Source organism: Homo sapiens, chromosome X (genome assembly GCF_000001405.40).
Source record: "Homo sapiens chromosome X, GRCh38.p14 Primary Assembly".
NCBI classification, from domain to species: Eukaryota; Metazoa; Chordata; class Mammalia; order Primates; family Hominidae; genus Homo; species Homo sapiens.
The window spans coordinates 72,730,130-72,748,882 of NC_000023.11; the positions used below are offsets into that span (position 1 = coordinate 72,730,130).

The window sequence follows — 18,753 nt, forward strand, 5'->3', positions numbered from 1 at the left end:
AGTTTAAATGTCTGTAAAACTACAGACATTAAAACGTTCTTCTTTTTCAGGATTTCCTGGTCATTTATGCTTATTTGTTTCTTATATAAACTTAAAATGAGCTTGTCTAATGAAAAAAACGTCTGTGTTGATATTTTCATTGGTATTATGTTCAATTGACAAATCACTACATCATACAGGGTAGCGATAAAGCTCAGAAACATAGGCAATTACCCATAGTAATGATTTGTTGGCATTACATTATAATGCATGATATTAATATAGTTTGGGGGCTTGTCCCCTCCAATTCTTGGGTTGAAATATAATCCCCAGTGTTGGAAGTGAGCCTGGTGGGTGGTGTTTGGGTCATGGGGGCGTATCCCTCATGAATGGCTTGGTGCCCTCCCTATGGTAATGAATGGATTCTCCCTTGGTAGTTCACACCATAGCTGGTTGTTAAGAAGAGCGGAACCTCCACTGTCTGTCTTGCTGCTTCTCTCACTAGGTGATGCATCTGCTCCCCCTTCACCTTCAACCATGATTGTAAGTGTCAGGCCTCTGAGCCCAAGCCAAGCCATCGCATCCCCTGTGACTTGCACGTATACATCCAGATGGCCTAAAGTAACTGAAGATCCACAAAAGAAGTAAAAACAGCCTTAACTGATGACATTCCACCATTGTGATTTGTTCCTGCCCCACCCTAACTGATCAATGTACCTCGTAATCTCCCCCACCCTTAAGAAGGTGCTTTGTAATCTCCCCCACCCTTAAGAAGGTTCTTTGTAATTCTTCCCACCCTTGAGAATGTACTTTGTCAGATCCACCCTGCCCGCAAAACATTGCTCTTAACTTCACCACCTAACCCAAAACCTGTAAGAACTAATGATAATCCATCTCCCTTCGCTGACTCTCTTTTCGGACTCAGCCCACCTGCACCCAGGTGAAATAAACAGCTTTATTGCTCACACAAAGCCTGTTTGGTGGTCTCTTCACACAGACGCGCATGAAAGTAAGCTTCCTGAGGCTCTCACCAGAAGCCAAACAGATGTGGATGCCATGCTTGTACAGCCTGCAGAACCGTGAGCCAATAAACCTTTTTTCTTTATAAATTGCCCATACTCCAGGCATTCCTTTCTAGCAATGCGAATGGGCTAACACAGATATGTTCAATGTTTATTTCTCCTTGGTATTGTGTAGTTCAATGTCCTATGCAGAAATTACAATAACACAGTGTGTTAATGTGGCATTTCCTGCAATCCTTACACAATAATCTGTGATGCATTGCCTCAGGTGTTTTATGTCTGATTTTCACCAAATAAACCTATTCCTTTAATATACCTGAGCAAAGGTAATCAAGGTGGTTCAATCTGCTATATATAGTAATATTATATGTATATACCATATAAAATATTTTTTTCAAATTGATACTTTCTGAAAAACTAGAAAAGACCAAGATACTGCCACAGATCAGAAGAGACTAAGGAGCTAAGGACAACCAATATGCAGCAGAGAACCCTGGACTGGACTGCAAAACAGGAAAAGAACTTTTTAAAAAAAATGGTGAAATCCAAATAAAGTCTGGGATTTTGTTCAAAGTAAGGTACCAATGTTGGTTTCTTAATTTTTGATAAATATGCTACTGTGATGTAAGATGATGGCATTAAGAGAAACTGAAACTGGATAAGGAGTATAAGACAGTTCTCTGTACCCTTTGCTACTTTTCTGTGAATCTGAAATTATTCCAAAATAAAAAGTTTATTTTTAAAGAAACGATGTTGCTAGATGTTCTGAACACCTTGTATTGTAATGCTGTGTTTATCTTCCTCACTAGACTGTGAATACCACCAGAGCATGGACCATTCAGTACTACCCCTGGGCCCATCAGTAGTTAGTTATTGTGGATAACCTTAAGATGATGAAGACAAGCCAACAAGACATTGAGAGGTTCTGAAAAAGCACCACCTTGGTGTCTTCCCTACTTTACATTACAAACCATTCAATTTAATAAAACCAAATGTGTTGCTAGTAAACATTTGTATTTTCTGTATCTTCCATCCAGGCAGATTCAGAGAAAAAAATATATTTAGGAAACCTGCCCTAAAAAGCCGACAACCACCTCTTTTCTCCACCTGTTGGCCTTCTCTATTCATTTAAAAAAATACTCTTTCTCCTTGTCCCAAAGTTTTTCTCACAGCAGTTTTGGAGAAGTGGAATGAACAGTAGGCTTGGAGTTGGGAACTGGGTTCTCATCTGGACTCTCACTTTCTGGCTGTGTAACCTTGGGTAAGTTACCTAATCTCTCTAAGCCTGTTTTTCCACCTTCCTAACAGGACTAAATGAGAATGCACTAAGTCTAAGATACTAGGCTGCTTTCTGCGCTTTGTGAGTGTGTGATTTTTTTTTTTTCTGGCAATCTTGCTCTTTCTCAAGGGTTCCTGGGTGAATGGCACCGCTCCCTACCCACTTACCCAAACCAGAACCTGAGTCATTTGTGACACCTTCGTCTCTTTAACACTGCCTTCCTACATGTCAAAATTGTCATTAAGTCCTATAGATTCTATTTCCTAAATATTTATCTGAGTCACCTTCCCATCTTGATCCCCATGGTCACTGGCTGAGTTTCTCCACAGACAATTGTTAACAGCCTCTAAACTAGTCTCTTTGCCTTCAGATTTGTTCCTTATTTTTCATACCACTGCCTAATTGATCTTTTAAATCCAAATCTGGCTCGGTTACTCCCTAACATAAAATTTTCCTGTGGATTCTCATAGCCTTTAGGGTAAATCCAAAATGTCTAGTGTGACATTGTGATCCAGGCTGCGAGTATCCATCTGTTGCTTTCCTTTCCAGTCCCTGCTATATTCTTATGCTTTAGCTGTTTTCAATTATTTGCAGTTGCCGGAAATCACTGTGCATTCTCTCACAATTATGCTACCCCTTCTGTCTGAAAGATCTCCCTTCACCCATTTTTTACAATTTGCTAAGCTAGTGGTCAGTTCCCGTTTCTCATTTTATTTGACCTATTGGCAGCGTTTGACTCACTTAATTGCTCCCTCTTTGATTTTTCTTCACTCTGTGTGGGGAAAAGAAAGAGAGATCAGATTGTTACTGTGTCTGTGTAGAAAGAACTAGACATAAGAGACTCCATTTTGTTCTGTACTAAGAAAAATTCTTCTGCCTTGAGATGCTGTTAATCTGTCACCCTACCCCCAACCCTGTGCTCCCTGAAACATGTGCTGTGTCAACTCAGGGTTAAATGATTAAGGGCTGTGCAGGATGTGCTTTGTTAAACAGATGCTTGAAGGCAGCATGCTCTTTAAGAGTCATCACCACTCCCTAATCTCAAGTACCCAGAGACACAAAACACTGCGGAAGGCCGCAGGGACCTCTGCCTAGGAAAGCCAGGTATTGTCCAAGGTTTCTCCCCATGTGATAGTCTGAAATATGGCCTCGTGGGAAGGGAAAGACCTGACTGTCCCCCAGCCCGACACCCGTAAAGGGTCTGTGCTGAGGAGGATTAGTAAAAGAGGAAGGAATGCCTCTTTGCAGTTGAGATAAGAGGAAGGCATCTGTCTCCTGCTCGTCCCTGGGCAATGGAATGTCTCAGTGTAAAGCCCGATTGTATATTCCATCTACTGAGATGGGGAAAACTGCCTTAGGGCTGGAGGTGGGACATACTGGTAGCAATACTGCTCTTTAAGGCATTGAGATGTTTATGTATATGCACATCAAAAGCACAGCACTTTTTTCTTTACCTTGTTTATGATGCAGAGACATTTGTTCATGTGTTTACCTGCTGACCTTCTCTCCACTATTATCCTATTGTCCTGCCACATCCCTCTCTCCGGGAAATGCCCGATAATGATCAATAAATACTAAGGGAACTCAGAGGCTGGTGCCAGCGCGGGTCCTCCGTATGCTGAACGCCGGTACCCTGGGCCCATTTTTCTTTCTCTATACTTTGTCTCTGTGTCTCTTTCTTTTCCAAGTCCCTCGTTCCACCTAACGAGAAATGCCCACAGGTGTGGAGGGGCAACCCATCCCTTCAAGTCAGCTTTCAGAATACCAAACATTCCTAGTTTTCCTTCTATTCCACATCAGTTGCTCTTTCTTATTCTGCTGATCCCTTCCCTCCTTCCCAATCTACTGATACTGAAATGCCCCAGGGCTTACTCCTTGAATCGCCTTTTACTACTCTAACTAGAACAATCATTTGCTTGGTGCTCTCATTCAGTCTCAGGCTTTAGATACCATCCATACGACAATGACTCCCAAATGCATTACTCCAGAACAGACGTATCCCTTGAACTCCAGGTTTATATATTCAACTTCCTACTCATCTTTTCTTGAATGTCAAATAGACATCTCAAAGTGCTGGGATTACAGGCGTGAGCTACCAGGCCCGACATCTCAAATTTAGTGTGGTCAAAATTAAATTCCTGATCTATCCCCTCCAAAACGACTCTGTCCACAGTGTTCCCATCTAAGTTGATGGAAACTCTATTCTTCCAGTAATTAAAGCCAAAATCCTTGGAGTCATTCTTAACTCCTCTCTTTCTTTCCCACGCATTTGCAAACTCTTAGGGAGTCCGACTGGTTCTAACCTCAAAATATATCCAGAAGGCTACCATTTTTCATGACCTCTGCTGATATCACCTTGGTTTGAACCAATGTCATCTCTCACTTACATTACTGCAAAAGCCTCTTAAGTGGTTTTCCTGATTCTGTGCTTGTTTCTTTCCCCAAAGCCTGTCTTCAACACAGCAGTCGGAGCGATAAGATATGACATCATATTATATTAAAACATTAGCTAATACAGCATTTCTCTTATCAAAATCCTGCATGACCCCTCACCCATAGACAGAGTAAAGCACACAATTATTATATATCTTTAAATTTTTTTTTCTTTCCAACTTTTATTTTAGGTTCAAGGGGTATATATGCACGTTTGTTACATGGATATATTGCATAATGCTGAGGTTTGGGTTTCTCTTGAACCCATCACTCATATTGTGAACATATTGCACAATTGGTAGTTTTTCAACCCTTGCCCCACTTCCTCCCTACCCCCTTTTTGGAGTCCCCACTGTCTATTGTTTTCATCTTTGTGTACATGTCTACCCATTGTTTAGCTCCCACTTATAAATGAGAACATGCAGTATTTGATTTTCTGTTGTTGCGTTAATTCACTTAGGATAATGGCCTTCGGAGGCATTCATGTTGCTGCAAAGGACATAATCTCATTACTTTTATGGCCGCATAGTATTCCGTGATGTATATGTATCACATTTTCTTTATCTAATCCACCATTGATAGGCACCTAGTTTGATTCCATGACTTTGCTATTGTCAATAGTGCTGCGATGAGCATACAAGTGTAGGTGTCTTTTCATGTAATGATTTCTTCTTTTGCTTTGGGTAGATGTCCAGGAATGGGATTGCTGGGTCTAATGGTAGTTCTACTCTTAGTTCTTTGAGGAATCTCCAAACTGCTTTTCACAGTGGCTGAACTAACTTAAATTCCCACCAATGATCTATGAGCATTTCCTTTTCTCCTCAGCCTTGCCAGCATCTGTTATTTTTAGTCTTTTTAATAAGAGCCATTCTGACTTATGCGAGATGTCATCTCATTGTGGTTTTGGTTTGCATTTCTCTGATGATTAGTGATGCTGAGCATTTTTTTCATATTTTTTTTGGCCACTTGTTTGCTTTTTTGAAAAGTGTCTGTTCATGTCCTTTGCCCACATTGTAATGGGACTGTTTTTTTCTCACTGCTTTGTTTAAGTTCCTTATGGATTCTGGATATTAGTCCTTTGTCAGATGCACAGATTGCAAATATTTTCTTCCATTCTGTAGGTTTTCTGTTTATTCTGTTGATGGTTTTGCTACGCAGAGGCTCTTTGACTTAATTAGGTTCCACTTGTCAATTTTTGTTTTTGTTGCATTTGCTTCTGAGGTCTTAGTCATGAGTTCTTTACCCAGACCAATGTCCAGAAGAATTTTCCTAGGTTTTCTTCTAATATTTTTATAGTTTGAGGTCTTACATTTAAATGTTAAATCCGTCTAGACTTAATTTTTGTATATAGTGAGAGGTAGGGGTCCAGGTTCATTCTTCTGCATGTAGCTAGCTAGCTATCCCAGCACCACTATTTGAATAGGGTGTCCTTTCCCCATGGTTTATTTTTGTCAACTTTGTCAAAGATCAGTTGGGTGTAGGTGTGTGGCTTTGTTTTGGGGTTCTGTATTCTGTTCCATTGTTCTATGTGTCCATTTTTGCACCAATACCATGCTGCTTTGGTTACTGTAGCCTTGTAGGATAGTTTCAAGTCTGGTAATGTGATGCCTCCAGCTTTATTCTTTCAGAATCGGTTTGGCTATTCTGGCTCTTTCTCTGGTTCCATATACATTGTAGAATAGGTTTTTTTCTAATTCTGTGGAGAATGACATTGGTAACTTGATAGGAATTGTGTTGAATCTATAGATTGCTTTGGGTGGTGTGGCCGTTTTAATGATATTGATTCCTCCAAACAGTTTTTCCATTTGTTTGCATTGTCTGTGATTTCTTTTATCCGTGTTTTTTAGTTCTCTTTGTACAGACCTCTCACCTCCTTCATTAGATGTATTTCTAGGTGTTTGGTTTTTCATGGCTGTTGTAAATGAAATTGCCTTCTTCATCAGCATACTTTTCCTCTTAGCTCTGTAACCTCACCTCCTGTTCTATCCCTCATTCACTCGGCTCCAGCGTTAATGACCTTGCTGTTTCTCCAACATGTCAACCGCATGTCTGCTTTAGGGCCTTTCTTTAATTCTTTGCCCTTCCTGGAGCACTATTCCCCAGATATTCATTTGGCTAGTTTCCTCACCTACTTCCAGTCTCTACTCAACTTCCACCATCTCAAGGAGGTCAACCATGATCACCGTATTTAATACCGCAGCCTGACTACCTTTTCCCAAGTATTCTCTATCTCTACTAAACTTTTTCTTTTTTCTTTCATAGCACCTATCACCTTACAACATACAATATATATTTTACTTATGTAAGTTATTTTTTACTGTGTATCTCCCTCTGCTAAAATATAATCCTCAACCAACAAGAGCAGGGATCTTGGTCTGTTGCGTTCAGTGATATGTCACAAGCGCCTAGAAAAAGTACCTGGTACATGGTAGGGATTTAGGAAGTACTTGTTGACTTTAAATGTCTAGCTTGGTGTGATCCTTCCAGATGTTTTTCTATGAATTTATATATGTATACGCAAACCTAGAAAAAATAATAATAGCAATGGGGTGAGTTTTTATATCTCATACATGAACTTCAAGACAACTCAGGTGTTGCCTCCTACCAACCTGCTCCTAAAATTCCTCTCACTCACAACACCTAGTGCACTGTATTGTAGTTGTCTAATTACTTCTCTGTCTCCCTTACTAGACTGTGGGCTCCTTGAGGGCAGGAACCATGGTTTTTCCATCTCTATATCTCCAGGAATGGCTCATAGTGGCATATCATACACGTTGAATGGATACATTTATGAATAAATGACTCCTTGCCTGGAAGAAGGGTAATTCCACTTCCTTGATATTGTGGTCCTCTATTTTAGAGCTGTGTCTTACTCTAAGCAAGCTCAATATATAAGATATATTAAAACTCAGCTTTACTCAAAAGATGTAATTGTTTGCTTTGAAACTGTAAAGTAGTTAATTTACAAAATTCTTCACGGGAGGATTCTTTTTTTCTAAATAGCAATGGCCTTTAGTGCAGAAGAACAGAAGGTTGCCATAATAAGACCAAACCATCCTCCCTTCATCCCAAGATTGGTGCTTGGCAGAGGCATGAATGTTAGCATGTCTGAAGGTAAGTTTGTCTGCCTGATGTCATCCTCAAAATGCTAGAAATGCAGGCAACCCCTACCTCAACATCCCAGTTTCTGGTAATAACATGTTATGAAGAAGGGGAAGGTAACTAAAATTTACTTAGATTCTATTATGTACTAGATATGTTCCACATGTTAGTCTTATTTAATCCTGAAAAATAACTCTTGGAGGAAGACAATGCTGTTGCTATCTTATCAATGAGGTTGCTAAGCTCAGAGTGGTACATTGCCTATGATCACACAGAACCAAATAAAGGCAAACTATAGACTTAATATTAAGTGTGTTTGTCCCAGTCAATTCCTATATTTCAGACTCACTATTCAAACAGTGTTGTCAAGCTTGAGGTATGACCTAAAGCAGCACAGTGTTGAGAGTCCTGTTCTAGACATAGATTGGTCAGTAAGATAGGAACATAAATGTAGGCCGAAGATTTTCACCGGGATGGGTGGATTGGAAGGAAGTTATTGGTGAGAAATATTCAGTATGCTGGCAGAGTGGGAAAGAAAGGTTGTGAGGGTAAAGTTGTAACCCAAGAAGCAGAGGTGGGAGACAGGAAATGTAGCAGCCGCCTCAGAGGCAGCTGTCATGATGGTACTTAAAGAAGATTGCTGCCAAGTGTTATTTATGAATTGTGGCTTAGGGTTTCCCAGTGCCGTCCTGGGTTTTGTGATGTTCTAAAAGACAGCAGTAAGGGAGGTGCGGGGCATGGATTGTTCCTCCTGTAGTCCTGGATTTTTTTTTCTGTTTCCCTTTTGGAAGATTTTTAATTTCTAAAAAATTTTGTAGAGACAGCGTTTTGCTATGTTGTCCAGGCTGGTCTCAAACCCCTGGCCTCAAGTGATCCTCCCGCCTCAGCATCCCAAGTACATGGGATTACAGGCATGAACTACTGCATCAGGCCTTGGAAAATGTTATTGTAGTAAAATATATGTAGCATAGAATTTGCAATCTTAACCCTTTTTAAGTGTACAATTCAGTGGCATTAATTACATTGGCAACATTGTGACACCATCACCACTACTTCCAAACGTTAAATGGAAACTCTGTACCCATTGGTCAATAACCCTCCATTCCCTCCTCCCTTTAGCCCCTGATAACCTCTAATCTACTTGATGTCTCTATGAATTTTCCTATTCTAGGTATTTCATATAAGTGGAACCATACAATATTTTTCCTTTTGTGTCTGGCTTATTTCACTTAGTAAGTTTTTCAGGTTCATCCATGTTGTAGCACATATCAGAACTTCATTTCTTTCCACAGCTGAATAATATTCCATTGCATACACATGCTGTATTTCATTTGTCCATTAAACTGCTGATGGACCCTTTGGTTGTTTCCAACTCTTGGCTATAGTGCATACTGTTGCAATGAACATTAGCATGAAACTGACTGTCTCAGATTCTATTTTCAATTATTTTGGGTATATTTCCCTAGGAGTGGAATTGCTAGGTCATAAGGCATCCTATGTTTAACTCTTAAAATTTATTTCTAATTGATATAATAGCCATGTATGTTTATGTGGTACAATATAACGTTTTGATCTTTGTATACATTATGAAAAGAGCTCTTTGAGGGACCGCAAGCTTTTCCACAGAGGTGCACCATTTTACATTCCCATCTGCAATGTGCAAGAATTTCAACTTCTTTACATCCTTACCAATGCTTCTTATTTGCTTCAAGAAAAGTTTTTTTTTTAATTATAGATGTGTATGTAAAGTGTTAATGGTGGTATCTCATTGTAGTTTCCATTTGCATTTCTCTGATGACTAATGATATTGAGCATCATCTCATGGGCTTAGTGGGAGAAATGTCTCTTAAGTCATTTGCTCATTTAAAAAATTAATTAGGTTGCTTTTCTTTTTTGTGTTGAGCTATAGGAATTCTTTACATATTCTGAATAGTAAACCATTGTCAGATACGTAATTTGCAACTATTTTCTATCATTCTATAGAATGTTTTCTTTTTTTACTTTATACTGTTCTTTATGCATGAGCATTTTCAATTTTGATGAAATCTAATTGATCTATCATTTTTCTTTTGTTGCTCATGATTTTGGTGTCATATCTAAGAATCCATTGCCTAATCCAAGGGTATAAAAGTTTACCGCTGTGTTTTCTTTAAAGAGTTTTTTGTTATTAGCATTTGTATTTAAGTCATTGACTGATTTTGGGTAATTTTTTTGTATACAGGATGAAGTAGAGGCCCAAATTCATTCTTTTCAATGTAATTCTGGCTTCGTAGAATGATTCAAGAAGTATGTGATCCTGTTTACATACTTCTATATAATTCCATATGGTTTCATATAGGGATTCATTAGTGAAACCATCTATGATTGAGGTTTTCTTTCTTTCTTAAGAAAGTGTTTAATTGCCAATTAAATTTCTTTACTAGATAAAGGGTTATTCAGATGATCTCCTTCTGGGATGAGCCTTGGTAGTTTGTGACTTTTAAGGAATTGCCCCATTTCATCTCAGTTATTGAATCCGTTGACATAAAATTGTTCAAATTTCTCCATTTTAATAAACATAGGATCTATAGGGATGCCATCTCTCTTTTTTCCTAGTATTGGTAGTTTGTCTCTTCAGTCTTTTTTTTTTTTTTTTCTTGATCCATCTGGCTAGAGGTTTATAAACTTTATCGCTCTTCTGAAAGAACCAGATTTGGGGTTCATTGATTTTCTTTATTGTTTTTCTGCTTTGTATTACGTTGACTTCTTTGTTTTTATTTTATCAGGGAAAGTGCGAACTCAGTCCCCCATGTACACAAATTATGCAGTCGAGTCTCCCCTGTTTGTGGAAATATCGGGTGTCAGCACACTCAGGGTGCAATAGATGAGCCTCAATCTAGGAAAACCACCTTTGTGCTCATGGTATCTCCCCTGACAGGTGAGGATGTATTATTTCTACTCTGACACTTACCATTACCTTTGTTCTGTTTAATTTAATTTGTTTTCCTTTTTCTCATTTATTAACATGTTTTCTGAGCTCATTGACTTGAGACCTTTCTTCATAGAGGTGTTTTTACTGCTACGAAATTTCCCGAGTCATTTTTTTTTTTTAACCAGCCTCTCACAAATTTTGATATGTTGTGTTTTCCTTTTCAGTCAGTTCAAAACACTTTCTAATTTTCATTATGATTTCTTATTTGATTCATAGGGTAATTGAAAGCACATTATTTGGTTCCCAAATATTTGTAGATTTTCTGAATAACGCTCTCGTTAATTTCTAACTTAATTTTATTGTATGTGGTTGAAGAACACACTTTGTGTTACTGGAATTGTCTAAAATGTACTGAGACTTGTTTTATGGCACGGAATACAGTCTCTCTTGGTAAATGTTCCACATACACTTGAAAATAATGCATAGTCTTCTGTTGTGGGGTGGAGGGTTCTACATGTGACAATTAGGTCAAGTTGGTAATAGTGATGCTCGAGTCTTCTATATTGTCATTGACTTTCTGTCTGCTTGTTTCACCAGCAATATATTGAGGGGCATTGAAATCTTTGTCGAGAATTGTTGATGCAGCTATTTCTCTGTGTAGGTCTATTCATTTTTGCTTCATGCATCTTGAAGCTCTGTTTTTAGGTGCACAAACACAGAATTGTTATCTACTCATCATAAATTCACTGAGTTGTCATTATGACATGGTCTTCTTTATCAATGGTAATATTCTTTGTTCTGAAGTCTACTGTGTCTGATATCAATGTAACAACTACGTCTTTATTGTGATTAGTCTTAGCTTGGTATACTGCCCCCACCTTTATGTTTACGCTATGTTGTGTCTTTATATTTAAAGTGGGTTTATTATAGGCAATATAGAGTTGAGTCTTGCTTTCTTATCCAGTCTGGTGGTTTTTGTCTCTTAATTGGCATGTTGGGACCATTTATATTCAATGTAATTATTGATATGGTTAGGTTTAAATTTACCATCTTGTGTTATGTTTTCTATTGGCTTCATGAATTTGCTCCCCTTTCCTTCTTTTTGGCCTTCATTTTTGAAAGACATTTTCACTGGGCATAGCATTCTAGGTTAGCAGTATTTTTCATTTAGTACTTCAAAAATGTTGCTCCAGTGTCTTCTCACTTGCATTTTTTTCTGATGAGAAATCTGCTGTCATCCTCATTTCAGTCCCTTTGTATGCAACGTGTGGCCTCTCCATCTTTCCTGACTGCTCTTCAGGTTTTTTTCTTCCTCTCTGGTTTTGTAAAATGTTATTGTGATGTGCCTTAGTGTAGCTTTCTCTACGTTTCTTGTGCCTGGTGTGTGTTCAGCTTCTTGGATGTGTGGGCTAAAAGTTTTTATCAATTATGGGTAGATTTCAGCAGCTATTTATTCAAATATATTTTTTCTGTCCCTCCCTCCTTTATTTTCTCTCTTTCAGGGCCAACAATTGCACATATATTTGGCTGTGTGACATTGTCCTATAGTTCTCTGTTGCTCTGTTCATTTTTCTTACATTTTTTTCTTTGTACAGCTTATATTCCCATGTCTTTAAGTTCACTAATCTTTTTTCCTGCAATGTCTCATACACTGTTAATCCCATCCAGTGCATTTTCCATCATAGATATAGTAGTGCCCATCTCCAGAAGTTTGATTTGCATTTTTTCTGTATCTTCCATGTCTTGACTTGACTTTGAGCATATGAACTACAGTTATTATAACTTTTAATATTCTTCTCTTCTAATTTAAGCATCTTTGTCAATTCTGGGTCATTTTCAGTTGACTGATTTTTCTCCTTGTTATTGTCATGTTTTCTTGGTTCTTCATTTGTTTGCTAGGTTTTAACTGGATGCCAAGACATGATGAGTTTTAGCTTGTTGAGTGCCGAATATTTTTGTAATCTCATAATTTTTCCTGAGCTTTGTTCTGGGATGCAGTTAAGTCGCTTGTAGTTTCATACTTTGGGGTCTTGCTTTTAAGCTTTGTTAGATGATACCAAAGCTGTGTTTAGTCTAGGACCCATTACTCTCCACTAGTTAGGTAAATCTCTTTTCAGCACTTTGTATATTGCTCAGAGAATTGAGAGACTTTCCAGTCTGATAGTTGAGAATAGGCATTATTGCTAGTCTTGTGAAAGTACCAGGTACTGTTCCCTCTAATTCTTTTGCATGGCTCTTTCTTATCCGGGGCAGTTTTCTTACATGCTTATGTTGATCAGTACTATGAGAGGCTTTAAGTAGCAATGAATCAGGTGTCTATTTCTCGAGATCATCATCATATTAGCTAACTTTTATTAAACACTTTTTATACAGAACATAATCTGTAGTTAGACTGGGGTTAATCCCTTCTGTTCCTTCTGTTGTCGGACGAGCTGTTGATGAGCAGGCCTGTGCTAAGCATGCTAGTTTATTTAATATATTAATCCAATGAAGAGAGTGCTGTTATTATTATTCTCATTTACAGATAAGGAAACTGAGGTACAGAGAGTTTAAGTAACTTGCTCAAGGACACACGCAGATAGTAAGTGGTAAACTGAAATTTGAACCTAGATGGTTTGACTTCAGAGATTGAATTTAACTTGTAAATCATCATGTGCTAGGATGATCGGAAATACAATCAGGATGCAAGCTGATGATAAGCCTGCCATTTCATATCTCCCCCACAGCAGCCAATCAGCCTCTAATACACGAACAAGTCCCTCCCTCTAAGCTAAGGGCAAGGAAGTGGGGGTGGCAGATGGGAGGAAGGAAAGAGAAGGTATGTATAATTATTGTGTTGTCACAAATTGCCATTATCCTGTTTGTCCCCAGAGCCCCTTAGCCTCCCAGTTTTGAGGTGGTACCCAATTCTTTGGAACAAATATGGGAGCCTGGTGCCAATGTTGCTGCCCTGCCAGTAAGGGTGCTGACAAGGTCTCTTGTGCAAGAAGCAAAGACCTCCAAGGGATAGTAACAGCTTTGTCTGGGGCCACCAGTACTGGCCTTACACATTTGGGGATGGAGTTTAGGGCCTGTTTTCTCTTGTTCCATGTATCTCATTTAATGAAAAACAGCTTCCTTTTCCATCTCTGTATCCACATGCTGCAGTGGACTATAATGCCTAAGAAGTTCCTCTCCTCAGCTATCACATGTCCCAGAAAATGTGCTCACATTCTGCTCTCCCTTCCCACATCCAGCCAGACACTTCCCCTCTGAGGTCTGTCTTCTGATTTGATTTATTTTCTCGTAAGTATTCTATACTTTCTCCCCAACCAGGTAAAAAGCCTTTCTAATCCTCTCGAGGTTACATCTTCCTTGTTCCCTTCGTGGAATGACAAATTGGCTCTTGCAAACATTTAACTGGAGCACTCTGGCAAATGCTCTTGTTCTTGATTCCAGACATCCTCCAAATGAGAATGATCTATGTATATGGTGCCTTCCTAAGATATATCAGGAACAGTATGGCAATAGGAACACAAGATAGAGTTTGTGCCTCCGTGTCTGTGAAATACTGCCCTAGGAACTGTCTGCTTCTTTTGCAGAGAACACTATCACAATTTTTCACTGACACTTACTCCTGAACCCTGAGCATTGGCCACTGCTACTTCCACCTGCCTCTAATCAGTAGGCTGCCAGCACCTTCCAGAACATTGGTGTACCAGCACAGACCAATTTTAATCAGAGTCTCCTCTGTTTGGTATCTTTAGACCAGCAGATGCCACCAAGCCTCATTTCTCTGTCAATCTCAATACTGCCCCAAATGCAGGAACTTCTGGCTATTATTTTCTTGTTTCCTCTCTATGTCTGACTCTGCCCAACTCTTTTCTTGAATGCACTCTGGCTTTTTGTTTCATACTTTAAATAAATCTCCCCTATATCCTCCCACTTTGTTTTCAGTGTTCACTCCAGCTCCTTTTCTTAATTGTAGCAATACAAGAGAACTAGGTATCATTCCTTATTTTTACCTAGTTCACCTAAAGACACCACTGCCCCACAGCATTTTTCACTAGATGATTCTCTTATTGTCATACCCCAAACACCATATAGACCTGGGGGCAGAGACCTCATTGTCTTCATTCCCTGGATTAATACAACATAGCAGTTAAGAGCTCCAGCTCTACAGTAGCAGCTCAGCTTCCAGTTCGAATCCTGGTGTTTCTTCCACTTACTAGCTGTGTGACCTTGGGCAAGTGAATTCACCTTTCTAAGCCTGTTTTCTTATTTATAAATAAAGATAATAAGCCCTTTCTACTATGATTGTTGTGAGGATCAAGCTTAAATGATGTAACAGGGCTGGGCGTGGTGGCTCAGGCTTGTAATCCCAGCACTTTGGGAAGCTGAGGCACGAGGATCATTTGAGCACAGGAGTTCAAGACCGTCCTGGGCAACACAGCAAGACCCCGTCTCTACTAAAAATAAAAAAATAGCTGGGCATGGTGACGCGTGCCCGCAGTCCCACCTACCCAGGAGGCTGAGACACGAGGATAGCTTGAGTGCAGGAGTTTGAGGCTGCAATGAGCTATGATCATGCCACTTCACTCCAGCCTGGGTGACAGAGCAAGACCCTGTCTCAAAAAAAGAAAACAATGAGGTAACATTTAAAGTGTCTAGTATTGATCCTACCAGAGGAGAACCTCCACACAAGTATTATCATTATTGTTGTTACTTTCAGATTATGACTCCCTCACCCTCTTAGAAAAGCCCTTCCTCCTCTGAAGTTTGACTCAAGACAGCTACCGAGAGCCTAAATAGAATATAACCAGAGAACTGTAGCACGATGCAGAAGACAGAAGAGGGAATGCGGTTAGAGCTTCCAGAACATGTAACAGAAAAACATATCCAAGTTTCTCTCTTCTTGAGCACCACCATGTGGTACAACTAGACATGTAGGACCACAACTTTGGGAAGAGGCTGGCGTTGGAGGAAGCGACTTGGAAGGCTTCTGCTGAAAAGTAGTAAGAGAAGCCATGAGCGTGGATGAGACAAACAAGGGAGGAAGAGTAGGAAGAAAACAGGGCAATGGCAGAAAATTGGAGTAATAGGCGTCTAGACTGCCTTCAAAATAAAATGTCACCTTAACAGACATCTGGTGACTATGGATCCCATAGGAAATAAGACAGTGTGTAAAGATAAGTGAGCATGTGCACGGGCCAAGGAATAGAGCAGGACAACCTGAGTTACTTCTCCTTCTCTCCCTCCCTCCCCTCTTCTTTTCTCTCTCCCTCCTCATTTTCTCAATGTTCCCCTTTCTCCCCCTTTTATTCTTATTCATCCATCCATCCATCCGTCCATGGAGCCATCCATGATACATCCATTCACCACTGGAACTGGGGACAAAAAATAAATAAGCCACAGGCCCTGTTCTAACAAAGGTCACAGTCTGTGGGATGGGGTAGGGTGGAGGCAATTAAGCAGATCTTTATAATATGTCAGTGCTCACGACCCAACAATCACCAGGAGCACGCCTGTAGTCGAACAAATTTGGGTTTATTGCTTGTTGTATTAAGGGAGAATGCACCCCATGGGAAACTGCGGAGCAACTCAGCAGGAGGGCATTAGAAAGGACTTACAGGATTTGGGCAAACTTTGCATTAGATACTTCTAAGGAGCAGAGGCAATCCTATGATTGGGTATCTTAATAAATCTTATCTAGAATGAGGGAAGAATAAATGATGCCTAGGGCTGTAAGTGGTAAAGAAGCAGCAGTTACCAACAGTGTATAGGCGTTCCTTTTTCACTGCAGCCTCGCCACCATCTATCGTTTTTGGACAGTTTAGTAATAGCCATTCTGACTGGTGTGAGATGATGTCTCATGGTGGTTTTGATTTGCATTTCTCAGATGATTAGTGATGCTGAGCATGTTTTCATGTTTGTTGGCCGCTTATACATCTTCCTTTGAGAAGTGTCTGTTCATGTCCTTTGCCTGTTTTTTTTTTTTTTAAATGGGGCTATTTGTGTTTTACTTGTTGATTTGTTTAAGTTCCCTATAGATTCTGGATATTAGGCCGTTGTCACATGCATTGTTTGCTAATATCTTCTCTCATTCTGTAGGCTGTCTGTTTACTCTGGTGCTGGCTTCTTTTGCTGTGTAGAAGCTCTTCAGTTTAATTCGGTCTTGGGGTGTCAATTTTTGTTTTTGTTGCAATTAAATCTGGAGACTTAGTCAAAAATTCTTTGCCAAGGCTGATGTCCAGAAGAGTGTTTCCTAAGTTGTCCTCCAGGATTCTTATGGTTTGGGGTGTTACATTTGAATCTTTGATCCACCTTGTGTTTATTTTTGTATGTGGTGAAAAGTGGGGGGGTCCAGATTCAATTTTCTGCAAGTGGCTAGCCAGTTATCCCACCATCATTTATTGAATAGGGAGTCGAGTCCTTTCCTCATTGCATGTGTTTGCCAGCCTTGTCAAAGTTCAGATGGTTGTAGGTGTGCAGCTCTATTTCTGAGTTTTCCATTCTGTTCCATTGGTCTATGTGTCTTTTTTTTTTTTTTATCAGTATCAAGCTGTTTTGGTTCCTGTGGCTTTATAGTGTAGTTACAGAGGTAACCCCATCAGGCTAGCAGCAGTCCTATCAGCAGAAACCTTACAAGCCAGAAAAGATTGGGGGTCTAATTTCAGTGTCCTTACTGAAAAGAAGTTCCAGCCAAGAATTCCACATGCTGCCAAACAAAGCTTCATAAGTGAAGGAGAAATAAAATCCTTCTCGGACAAGCAAATGCTGAGGGAATACATTTCCACTAGGCCAGCATTACAAGAGGTTCTTAAGGGAGTGCTAAACATGGAATCAAAATAATGACACCTGCTACCACAAAAGCACCCTTAAGCACATAGCACACAGGCAGTATAAAGCAACTACGCAGTCAAGTCCACATAACAACCACCAGGCATCATGATGACAGGATCAAAATCCCGTATATGAATACTAACCTTGAATGTAAATGGGCTAAACACCCCACTGAAAAGGCACAGAGTGGCAGGCTGGACAAAAGGACAAGACCCAACCATCTGCTGCCTTCAAGAGACCCATCTCACATGCAACGACACCCACAGGCTCAAAGTAAAAGGGTGGAGGAAGATCTACCATGCAAATGGAAAACAAAAAGGAACATGAGTCCCTCTTCTTATTTCAGATAAAACAGACTTTAAACCAATAGAAATTAAGAAGGACAATGAAGGGCATTACAAACAATAACAATCCAACAGGAAGCCTTAGCTATCTTAAATATATATGCACTCAACATTGGAGAGCCCAGATGCATAAAATGAGTTCTTCTTGACCTATCAGAAGACTTAGACAACCACACAATAGTAGTGGGAGTGTTCAACACCCCACTGACAGCATTAGACAGATTACTGAGGCAGAACACTAACCAAGAAACCCTGGACTTAAACTTGACACTCGACCATTTGGACCTAATAGACATCTACGAAACACTCCACCCAACAACCACAGAATCCACATTCTTCTCATGTGCACACAGAATATATTCTAAGATCAACCACATGGTCAGTCATAAAGCAAGTCTCAATAAATTAAAAAAAATTTAAATCATACCAAGTGTACTCTTGGACCACAGTACAATAAAAATAGAAATCAGTATCAAGGAGATCTCTCAAAACTACACAGTAGCATTTTAGATGCTAGACATGATATGTTGACAAACTGCAACACAGGCAGTTAACAAAAATGAAATGATTATTAGCCCTTGCTGCAGATCTCCAAGCCAAGGGTGTCTAGGTTATAAAGCCTAGGCAATGAAAGCATGTCCCAGAATCCAGCTGGGTCTGCCTTAGAGATCCAGATGAGTTTATTTTCTTTTAATATACCGTAAACTGTTCTACTTGCCGTGTAATATTTACACAGGTGCAGCGAGATGTATTTACTCTAACATGAGCTCTCCTTTGGATAGCTAAGAGGAAACCAAGGGCTATGCAATTGTCCATGAGAACTCTAGCTAACAGATTTAGAGTAGTTTTTGGAGGGCATCC

General features: G+C 39.6%; 1 pseudogene, besides 2 other annotated features; it reads right to left on the reverse strand.

Moving 5' to 3' along the window:
- Nucleotides 2,284-2,783: an enhancer, noted in NCBI's record as "H3K27ac hESC enhancer chrX:71952237-71952736 (GRCh37/hg19 assembly coordinates)". NCBI's record gives its function as "activates a minimal SCP1, AML or CMV promoter by ChIP-STARR-seq in primed H9 embryonic stem cells {active_cell/tissue: H9 hESC(primed)}" and the evidence as "EXISTENCE:reporter gene assay evidence [ECO:0000049][PMID:30033119]".
- Nucleotides 2,902-3,678: an enhancer, noted in NCBI's record as "OCT4-NANOG-H3K27ac hESC enhancer chrX:71952855-71953631 (GRCh37/hg19 assembly coordinates)". NCBI's record gives its function as "activates a minimal SCP1, AML or CMV promoter by ChIP-STARR-seq in naive H9 embryonic stem cells {active_cell/tissue: H9 hESC(naive)}" and the evidence as "EXISTENCE:reporter gene assay evidence [ECO:0000049][PMID:30033119]".
- Nucleotides 10,577-10,740, reverse strand: RNU1-112P (RNA, U1 small nuclear 112, pseudogene; annotated as a pseudogene).